This window comes from Homo sapiens, chromosome 1, assembly GCF_000001405.40.
Source record: "Homo sapiens chromosome 1, GRCh38.p14 Primary Assembly".
In the NCBI taxonomy this organism is placed as follows: Eukaryota; Metazoa; Chordata; class Mammalia; order Primates; family Hominidae; genus Homo; species Homo sapiens.
In genome coordinates, this window is record NC_000001.11 from 217,423,845 (window position 1) to 217,435,734 (window position 11,890).

Here is an 11,890-nt window from a genome sequence, read left to right on the forward strand (position 1 = left end):
GGTAGTTTTCCTCTCTTTCTAAATGGTACATAAAATTGAGGTGCATCTTAAAATCAATGGCATCTTAGATTCAATGAAATATGGTATAGGCTGCTTCAATATTTCTTTTTTTTTTTTTTTTTTTGAGACGGAGTTTTGCTCTTGTTGCCCAGCCTGGAGTGCAATGGCGCAATCTTGGCTCACTGCAACCTCTGCCTCCTGGGTTCAAGCAATTCTCCTGCCTCAGCCTCCCAAGTAGCTGGGATTACAGGCATGCGCCACCACACCCAGCTAATTTTTGTATTTTTAGTATAGACAGCGTTTCTCCATGTTGGTCAGGCTGGTGTCTAACTCCTGACCTCAGGTGATCCACCCACCTCGGCCTCCCAAAGTGCTGGGATTACAGGCATGAGCCACCGTGCCCAGCCTGATATTTCAGTCTGGATGCTTCCTATCAAGTTTATATGTCAGAATTAGTCCTCACCAAATATCCACATGCTCCCCTACTATCTACAGCTTCTCTGCAATTCAGCTGGGCCCGTGTGGGCAATTCTGACCAACAGGTCATGAACAGAAGTGACCTCATGTCTCTCACCACTCCCTGACCTCCCACCCCAGCCCAAAGCAGTTAAGTGCTAATGTACCTCTTCTATCCCCTTTTCCCTGCCACAGCAAAATTGGGAGCAAATAGGTACTAAATACTCTTTTGTTTCACAGGCTTGCAGTAATATATACCCACCTGATAAGTGGACCATGAAGACTCTTTCTGCTTGATTCCTACTAAGCAGAGACTCATTACTTTCCACACCTGACATTTTAAGTAGTAGCCCTGGGGTGCCGCTCCCCCTTGTTCCTGTGCATCTCTGAGCTTTTCATGATCAGCTAAACTTCCACATTCTTTTACTATAACTGGCTTGGGAATGGGGGAGAAATAATCTTCCAAAGAGGAACACAAGGAAAAGCATTTGATTTCTACTCTCCAAATATTTGGTGAGATTTGGGAAGCAACCAGGAATGTGAGCTTCAAAAAATTGGGCGATTCCTCCAAGGTGGAAGTCTTTTGGCACACTGAATCTTTTGGTCCACCGGCTTCTTGAGAAGCCTTTAAGGCCAACCGATCCCCAGAACAAGATCTCTCTTGGGCTTCACTGCGAGTTATTCTTTGGAAAATGCACTTCTGAATTCACTTTTTGTATTGTCTCAGGAAAATCCTGTTTGTGAAAATGCCTCATGGTATCTCCCTGAATCTGAAGAAGTAAAGAGAAAGACTGTTTGCTTTGATGTAATCAGATTCTCTGGAATTTAATCCTATATCCTATTTATGGCTGAGCTAGCCATTCAAAATTAAAATGAACCTTTCATCCATGTGTATCATAAATGGGCATTTATCAGGATTATATGATTTTGCAATCCATCTGAATACGTAACCAGAATTTGTTTTCTTTCCATTTCACTATGTAATTACCATGCAACAATAACAAAAGTGACATGTTTGAAGAACAGATAAAATGCTGTAAATTGGCCAGTAATGGTGATATTTCCTCATCTTCTCAAAAACCCATTTATTCTCTCTCTCAACAAATCAAGGCATTGTCAGCCCATACTCATCTTGTGGCCAGAGGGGCTCCACCAATTTCTGGATGTAAGTGAGTCCTGGAATGCAGATGAGGCCGACTAACGAAAGCTTTCAGTGCAGGCAGCTGGTCTTTGCTTGCCTCAATTTTTAAATCATCCATAATGGGGCCAAGACCTCCCAAGCACTAAAAAGAGCGAGCTGACATGCTGGATAAACTGTTAATTTTTTCCTGAAGAAGCTGCTATATTGCACATCTGTCACTGCAGTGCAGACAATTACTCACTGAGTCAGGGAAAAAAATCTGCCGCTTGTTTCTAGCTGAGTTGTTAAGGGACTTAATGGAGAAATACAATGGCGTGGGAGTCAAAACATGCTGCTTTCCCATGTGCTTGGCAATTGTTCCCTCCTTTTGGAAGACTGTCTTGTAATATTAAAACATGTGAAGTAGACTAAGATGTGTGTTTAGAAAAACAGCAAAGGAATTAGAAGAGGTACAATAAAAGGACAGGCATATAAAGATGTGGGACGATCAAGAATCTAGCCTTACAGATTACAGGCCACTGTACTTATTGCTGAGAACGTAACAACGCTGTGGCCAGTGTATTAGAAATATTGTGATTTTTCACATTATAAATTTCAAACTTTTAATATATATTCCCCAAGTGCTTCACAACCATCTAAAAATTATTTTATGAATTTCATGCCTCGTATATGCAATGTGGATCATCTATACTGTTTCCATAATGAATTACAGCCATCAATGAGACACTTTAGAATCCCAGATTTGTCAGTCATCTAACAGAACTTTAGTTGTTTTTTTCTTCGCTAAATCATTTGCATGTCATACATATGAAATCCTGGCATTTGAAGAAATTAACTTCAATAAGTGATGGAAGAATTTGTTTGGATTTGAAAAGCATATATTGAGTTAGTATACTATTTCTCAGTCTTTCTATTTTTATTGAAGAATATTGATTTTAGAAAGAAAGAAACTTTTTTTTTAGAAATAGGAAGATGCAAACAGACAGAAGATAGTTTTGGCTGTTTTATTTGGGATACTATTGTAATATACTTTTATCTCTAGTCTTACAGCTGGAAAATCAAGCATTATACACACTCCTAAAATACTAGCAATTTATCTTGAAAGTTCAAACTAAAAGAAAAAAAAAAAGAAACACAAAAAATAGCCCTCAATTTTAACCTTACTTCAGCCTTGAAAAATTAAGAAACAAACACAGGACATTCTGATATTGCAACAGGAGGGAAGTATGTGGATCTGAGAATGATTTAAACTGTCTGACAATTCAAAGACAGGAGACAACTCTAATGTACAGATAAAACTAAAAGTGGCAATAGTAGATCATACTCCTGGCAGTTAATGGCACTGACTCGCTGGAGACAAATCTGGATCTACTTAAAGTGTCAGGTGTGTAAAGTAATGAGTCTTTGCTTAGTAGGAACCCAGCAGAAGGAGCCTTTATGGTCCGCTTGCCAGTTGAGTATATGTTACTACAAGCCTGTTAAATAAATGAGTATTTAATACCTATTGCATGAAAAAAAAAAACCCTACTTATTTTGACAACTTTACTCAGTTTTTTGGGAGAAAAGATAAGTTTAATCAACATAGTGAAATGCCTCTTACAGCAAACAAAACTCAACACTTCAATGCATATTACAAAACACTTAAAATGTCCAAGCAGCTTTATGAGAGGCACAACTTTCCAAAAGGAAATGGAGTGATTGTAACAGATTTGAACTCTGATACTTTAAGTGGTCAGAGAGAGCGTGTGTACCTTGTTACATTAGAATCACAGAATCCTTGAGGGGAAAGAGACCTTAAGCAAGTTAGTCTAATCAAGCTTCACAGAAACAATAAAAACAGGAAAATGTGGTAGAGCAGCTCACAATCGGCTATGAATACATTTGTGAATCAAATACATTTACCAATATTTTTCTCTAATTTTTTTGAGATATTGAAATTTTTCGCTGAACTTAACTGCACTATTAAATGATAATTGTCAATGGGTACTCATTTAAACCAATTTTTAAAGTACTTTCAACTTTTAAAAAATAACTCTAAGGTAAAAGGGAAACATTTAAAGCACAAAGACAATGACTACTTATAAATAATGTTCTTAAACATTATGTTTTATTCTTTGATTCTTTGTTGTACTATTAACATGACTTTCTACCAAAAGAAAAAATAAAAAAAAATATTCTTTGCTAACAATTTCTTTACAATGCCAACTTAGATCACTTTTCTTTTTGAAAGACAAAATACAGGTGAAAACAGTTTTAAAAAGCATGTCAACAGTGATTTTTTCTCTTTTCGGAAATATCTGCTCAAAATAAAGTGTACTGAATAGAAGCAATTGTCAGTTCAATTTACAAGAATGCCAATTCTCAATATTAAAATAAACATTAATAAAATGCAGTATTTTGTAATTATGTCTGTATACTGCACACAGGCATTATAAATACACCTATAGGTACACATTATGTATATCTTTACCCCTACTGTGTTAACTTCTGTTTGATAGCCACAGTATGAGTTATAAAATATATGGTATTTAAATGCTGAGACCAATTTATTGGCAGATTTTAATTAGCAATGAATGTTTATTTAAAAGGGTGCCATATAGTTTAAAAATAAAAGTAACCAAATTAAATAGTGTATTCGGGGAGCAGAAAAGAAGGAAACAAATGACTCCAGCACACAGTCTGGTCATTATCAAGTATAACAAATTTTTTAAACAGTCAAGTTGCTAATGTAATCATGCTCAGCGTCTCTAGGCTATTGCAGGTAATTAGGATAGAAAAGGGAGACCTATGCAGTCTCTAAAATTTTTAGTACAACCAATTAATTTGCTATAAGGCTACAGATACTGTAGAAGAGTGGCTTCACAAAACAGCAGAAGAAATATCTTACTACCTTTTAGAGGAAATATAAATGATACATTCTAAATCTTGGGGTTCTATGGACGTTGTAACTGGCAAAAAATTAACTATATATAAAAGACAAATTAGTGGGCTTCAGATGGTGAAAGACATTTGATTTGCACTAAAAAATTCGTATTTTAATTGCGTTTGTTTCTCCAATTAAGTTCAGGTACAACCAGAACATCAGGTCTGTACTGAGTTTTCTTAAAGACTGAGGGCATGTCAGTAGAAGTATGGGGGAAGCTTGGGATGTTATCACTTCTCTGCTTTGAGTGCTGATTCACATATACTGTAGAGTACATATATTCTGTACAATTAAACACTTCAACAGAGTAAGAAGTATTTTAAGTCCTCTGTGAATCACATAGAGGGCTCTAGGTGTCAAGATGAAGAAGAACTGTCTTCTATTAGCTGAAAATACAAAGAAGAATTTTTTTAGGTGTTAGAGAAGCTAAGTTAACATCCCACAGAAGTTGCTTCAGAAGATTTGTACCTGTCCAGAACAGCAACAATAAAGAGCACTCATAAGGACTGCAATATTTAATGAAGAAGTTCCTATACACTAGTCTGGTGTATATACTGCTCTTCTTCACTATGAGGGTTTTTACTTCCATTAGAACATAATAAGGTGAAAAAGAACAGCCAAGTCCTCAGGAGTGTGGAACCAGGCTAACAATGACCTCATTGTTTGCTCTCAGTGGCTTCAAACTTGGCTTTTTGAGATTCTAGGATTTTAGCAGATCTCCAGGCAATCAAATTAACAAAACCTCAAACACCAAATTTTGAATAGACCCCAGAGCACAATACACTATCACAAAGAAGTTTTAAAACTTGTATATAATCTCCCCCCGGCTACATAGACAGAATGAGCATTTAGAAAATATCAGTTAAAAAAATGGCAAATTTGTAAGTAAAAAACTTGTAGAAAGTAATGATACCATGGGGTTACTTTATCCAGTAAGAATGCTTCAAAAGAACATCTCTTCTGGTCGTCCATAGTTCCCTAACCAACCTGTCCTCTAGGTACAATATCCCTGGGAAAGAAGATAATTCTCAAGAAATGTACATTTGGCAAACCGTGAAGGCTTTCAAATAGCAGGTTGGACTTCCCCTCCCTAGTTGGCAGGATTTTTTTTAGGGGACCACCTGAGAAAGGTCTGTTACGTGCATAAACCTCCTTTAACACCTTTTAAAAACTCTTCTGGGGGCTGGGCGCTGTGGTTCATGCCTGTAATCCCAGCTCTTTGGGAGGCCAAGGTGGGCGGATCACTTGAGGTCAGGAGTTCGAGACCAGCCTGGCCAACATGGTGAAACTCCGTCTATACTAAAAATACAAAAATTATCCGGGTATGGTCGTGGGTGCCTGTAATCCCTGCTATTTGGGAGGCTGAGGCAGAACAATCACTTGAACCCAGGAGGGGGAGGCTGCAGTGAGCCGAGAGTGCGCCACTGCACTCCAGCCTGGGCGACAGAGGCAGACTCTGTCAAAAAAAAAAAAAAAAAAAAAGAAACAAAAAAACTCTTTTGGAAAGTGACAAGATTTTAAAAACCCATTAGAAAGGTGATTCACATGTGTTATCTCAGTCTTTACTCAACCAGCAAAGGCCATTATAAATAGAATGATAATAATCATCATCATAATAAGTTGTTAATAATGAAGATAATAAATAAAGATCTTCTAAACTAAAAGCAATTTAGAATTTCTGATACTATGAAGCAAATGACTCAGAAACAGCTCAATACTAGGCACGTAATACAAACGACCTCTTTTGCTAGGTTTTAAAGTAACATCTTGGGTCCTAGAAAGGGCAAATCAGTACCATTTACTTCTTTTGTTCACCTTCTAAATGGGTTGGGTCATTGCCAGAAATCTGAGTTCTGGGAGAGCCATTTAACTTTTCATGTAAATTGATTCAATATTGTAATAAATTACTCCAATGATTAAAATTTTAAATCCGTTTACTACACTTGAGTTGATCTTAAAAATAATATCAATCTTTGGGAAAACAGAGGTAGAAGTACATCTGGATTAATAGAATTTACAGTTCAATCACGGTGAATTTAAAAAATACATTTTTCTTTCAATAATTATTTTATGTTCTAAATGAGGTAAAATTTATAAAATCTGCATTAAAGTAAGGTAGAGGGCACTCTGGTGATAACAACGATGAGGTTTATTTTTGTCAAAACATCCAAGGGAAACATTAATTGTTGTTTGTCAACTGTGAACTTCACACTACATTGTCTAAGGATAGAAAATTGATGGGTATCACTCTGTCAGAAAATCCTCACCAAGAAGCCAATTCAAGGAATATGAAATTGACAAGCCTTTCAAACAAAGATGTGTTCGGACTTCACTGATGCGATGGTAGGTCTTTTGGGTTACAATAGATAGGGATGATATAAAACACAATCTTTTCCTGTCTATTCCATTTTAGAAACTGGTGGGTGTGCTCACGTTTGTCTGGGCATTGCAGCACTGCACACATACATGAATTAAGCAAAGCATCGGAAAGTATTGACACATGAGACTAAAATAAATAAGAGAAACGAGCTGCTCTTTATACCTAGAAATAGCTGGAAATTACTGAAAAAAATTAAAGTGCAGAGGTTTTCATTTTAGCACCATGAATTGTGATGAAATCCCATTTCTCTCACTATGGCAGGACTGTATGCAGTAAGGAAGCTAGAGTGATGTGTTTGAGGCAATGTAGATTTTTGCTTCAAAAACAGAAGTCATGTTATCATTTTAGAACAATGGGACATAGTGAATAAAGTCTGTAAAACATTTCTTCTTTGCTTTTCTTAGGCGGATTTTCCTGCATTGGGGGTAGTAGTTGCGGAAGTACTTTTTGGTAGAGGAAATCCAAGTCCTAATCCCTTTGGCCTCTGCATGGCTTGAATTGGCTCAGAGATCCCCTTGCCATCTCGTCCAAGGCCTGACCCAGGCGTCCAGCCCATATTCTGAAGCATTCGGTTTCCAATATTATTTTCTAGGATTGGCTGGGCATTTTCACCTACAAATCCTGAAATGATAAAACAACAGCACACATTAATCAGTATGAACACAGGTGAAGATATTAGGCTATGAAAACGATGTTCTCCTAAGTTTTGTTTTGTTTTGTTTTTCAACCAGGTACTAGAGGGGGTTGCGTATTCATCTTTGGATACTTTTTGTAGTTGAGAGAACAATGGAAGAAAGATCTTGTTTAGAATTTCAATTCTAGCACTTCACAGCAGGGTGAGCTATTCAGCCTCTCTGGGCTTTTGTTTCCTCATCTGTGAAACAGCCATAATACAACCTACATTGCCTATCTCACAGAACTTTGTAGGACAGATGAGATCATGTATGTAAAGAAACTTCTCAGTAAACCATAAAGTACTCTACTAATGGATTTATTTTCATTACCATGTTAGCCTTATGGATTATTCAGAAAATCACCAACCTATATTGTAATATCTCACATTTGCCCATGACCTTGACATTCAACAGAACCAAAACTAAAACCAAACCAAACAAAAAGCACAACTGGTGGCATCTTGAATTCCTAGGAATTTACATTCTTATAATCTCTCTCCTTGTTATTTATTATTCAGTCTGTAACATATGCCTCCTTTAGTTCCTTTCCTCCTTTTCCTTCCATGGCCATGTTTAAATGATTATATAAGTTAGTAGAAAGAAAATAGAGGAAAATAATATTAAAGAGATATATATTATAAAACTTAAAAAATATATTATATACATTTGCAGGTACATAGACCACAATTCCCTTCATAGGCCTCCAGAGATAGATATATTTCTTCCTTCCCTTCCCTCCCTCCTTCCCTCCTTCCCTCCCTTGATTCCTTATTTGAAAAAGGAGATTGGTTAGTGCTTAACATGAAATTTAGATATAGATGTTGTTTACCATATTTTCTTAGCAGGTAATTGAGAAATGCATCTATTTTAAGCATTTTCTCTTTGATGACATTTTCAAAAATAGACTTTGAATTTTTTTTGTAGGCTCTTATAGAAAAAGTTGAGCATAGATACTGTATATTTTGTTCTAGGGAAAAACTCAGAAGTACTAGATATCTGAAATCCAAGGATGGAGAAATTAACAAACACCATAACAGTCAAAAAATACAAGAACTTGAGCTCTTTCCTTCAATTGCAAGCTTGGGCTTGTCCTTGGCCTTGGTTGATCTGTCCCAGGTGTGGTATAGGTTGGCTCTTTCCTTGACTGGTTCATTTCTGTTCCTTCTCTAGCAGCAGGTATTAGATTATGGTGTATGAAAAGGGAATATAGTAAATCTGGAGCTAACCAATACAAGCAATCAGAAGTCTTAATTATCAGAGCATTTCTTATGGTTACTCCCCTTTTAGAAGAAAGTGAATAACAGACAAACTAATATTGCAGTCTTTGAGAAAAAAAAAGAGAGATGAAAGTCTATCTTAAAAGAACCTTTGTCTTAGTGAGAACATATTCGGCCCAGTCCAATCTCTTACACCAGGGCTCAAATTTACAGGGACACAGAGTTTGACACCATTCCCTCCATAGGCCTCCTATACTACACTTTCCAAATATCAGTAGAATGCCTGTGGTATAGCAGCTGAGTCCTGGCTCTAGCATATTTCTGCTCTGAAATGTGGACCATGTCTTCCTAGACAGAGGTTGAAATGGTCAGCTGTTGACATAACCACTTACTTCTCTCAAAGTTTCATGAGTCTCTTTAGCACCAATCTACACCTCACCCTGCCCCTATCCCTTTCCCATCATCAGTTTTCTTCTTCCCTGACTCAGGATTATTACGGCACCTTCTCCCCAACTACAAAAAAAAGTTGGAACTCTCTGTCCTACTCTTTCTCTGAGACTATGTTCAGAATGGTGGTACCAGCAGAGAAGGATCCTTGGATCTCAAACATCAATAAGAATAACAAAAATATTAACGATGAAACTCCAGAGTATAGTAGTGTTCTCTTTCTTATCCTGAGTTGTGGTTACCCAAATGGCCAATTTATTATTGTTCTTTAAGCTGTTCATATATATATATATATATATATATTTATTTATTTATTTATTTATTTATTTATTTTGGCAGAGTCTCACTCTGTTGCCCAGGCCAGAGTGCAGTGGTGAAATCTTGGCTTACTGCAACCTCCACCTCCCAGGTTCAAGTGATTCTTATGCCTCAGCCTCCCGAGTACCTGGGATTACAGGTGTGTGCCTTCACCCAACTAATTTTTGTACTTTTTAGTAGAGAAAGGATTTCACCATGTTGGCCAGGCTGGTCTTGAACTCCTCACCTCAGGTGATCCACCTGCCTTAGCCTCCCAAAGTTCTGGGATTACAGGCGTGAGCCACCACACCCAAACTGTACATATACATTTTTAAGTGTATTCTTTGAACTATGTATTTCACAGTAAAAAATAAAATAATAGTAAAAGGAATGTCAGCATTGAACCAACGGTGTATATTCTCTGGTAACTTGTGTCTCACATTGTGGGGAACAGCAAGTGAGTCACGCTCTGTGATTCTCACTTGTAGAACAAGGAAAGCCACAAAGTGCTAGACATGAGTTTTAATACCTACACCCCTGTTATTTACTATGGAGTAGTCATCAATTGATTTTCAAAGCCGTTTATTAAACATTTTGGTATTCTCAATCTTCAGTGCATTTCAAGACCAAGAAGAAGACTACATCATTGCCATTTGCTAAATTCCTTAAAGGGAGTAAGAACTAGCCAATGATTAATTGGCTTTGGATTTCTCAAATGGATTCATAGCTCATGGAAACAAGTACCTTACCATGTAACAGAAAGAACCTTCAACTACTTGCCTCTTGAGTGGCAACACCCAACAATGTCAAAGAAAAATTCTTGACTAAAATTATTGACCACTTGAGAAGGGCAAAATGCATATACAGAGATTATAAATATATGTGTGAATGTGTGTTGTGTGTGACAGTGAAAAATGGACCTCTTAGTCATACACACGCAAGCACGCACAACATAAAAATCTTTTGTCAAAAATGTTTAATATAACAAAAAAGCAGTTAATTTTTTATTTTGAAGCCATGATTATGGTGGTAACCAGGACAGACCTCCAAGGTATGTAGTTTTTTCTGGATAGCTGCTAATCAGGTATGCCAGGTTAAACAGTGCCTTAGCGTGTTGTCTCATATCCCTGATTTTTCAGTGATTGCCATGAATTAATTTACTTCTACCCTAAGCTAAAGTCAGACCAGAGGTCTATTGCTGCTCTGGGCTATACATCTGTTTACTCACATTTTTGATAGGATAGCTTGCAAAAGTTCAGAATTAAAATTTGTTTAATATTTAAGAAAACAGTAAGGCCAATTTAAAATATTTCTAAAAAACTGCTAAATTATGGTGAATTTTCAGTCCTAAAGTGAACAGCAAATGATAATTGATTCACTATTATAATTGAAAAATGTTGGTATTTCAAGCAGGGTAGCCCAGGGGTGACCACCATACTCTCATGCTTTTGTTTTTATATAGATGGAAAAGAACTCATTCTCATTTTTTTAAATGATGGTTTCATTTCTCTTCTTCATAAAAATAAAACAATATAACATAAAACAAAGCATTATCTTGTACTCAGAAGAAAAATGAACATTTTATTCTTCAAATGCTAAATCTTTCCTCATAGAAACACAACCCAAAAAACAAAAAAAAGTAACAGATACTTCATTATTCATGGAAAATGATTCTAGAGTGAAATCTACTGTTGGCTTCTCATCCTTCTTTTATGAGATTAAGACTTGGGAGTGGAACAACTCAGCCTCAGCGCAGTATACACCACAACCATAATTTCCCTTTCTTTGGCTCCTGGCAGTGTTAAAATCCTTTAAGACCTTTCCTAGAAGGCTCTCCTGCTCAGGCAGCTTTAGCAATACATCTCCTACTAACCTTTCTGCCTGCTTCCGCTCCCAGCCTCCTGTCTGCTGGATCTCTCATATCTATTACAGCTGAGTCAGTCCTTTCCCCTCAAATCTTCCAAAGAGTACCGTGGAGGGTAATTCACTTGCATAATTGGCTCAAGAGATGAAAATCTTGTATCGGCCTCTCTTAGCCACTAATCTATCCAGCTGACTGCAAGCCTAATTGGCAGCTTGTTTAGTAATTTGGCTCCTAAAGTGTTGTATTGATGTTGGATAAACAGCCAATGGAAGGGGAGGTGACACATGCTGCTTCCCATAGAACAGCTAGTGCACTCCGCCTCTGTCCCTATCTTGTATTCACAAGGCATTTATTAGTTTGTGATCACTCTTTCTTCCCATACTCTTTTCACCATTACTTGACTAGCCAGCTGAGGGGCTGGGCTATTCTCATTATTATTAGGAACATTATAACAATGATAAGTTATGATACTGTCCTCTGTTCTCAGCAAC

The 11,890-nt window shown here is 36.9% G+C and overlaps 1 protein-coding gene across 4 annotated transcripts in view; it reads right to left on the reverse strand.

The window, feature by feature from the left end:
* The window catches only part of GPATCH2 (G-patch domain containing 2), a 204,099-nt gene continuing 195,356 nt past the window's right edge, over positions 3,148 to 11,890 (reverse strand). For all 4 annotated transcript variants that reach the window (XM_017001592.3, XM_011509690.4, NM_018040.5 and 1 more), the window contains one exon: positions 3,148 to 7,521. In XM_017001592.3, coding sequence (XP_016857081.1) covers positions 7,301 to 7,521 — 221 coding nt within the window. In that variant the 3' untranslated portion in view covers positions 3,148 to 7,300. The remainder of the gene's footprint in view (positions 7,522 to 11,890) is intronic.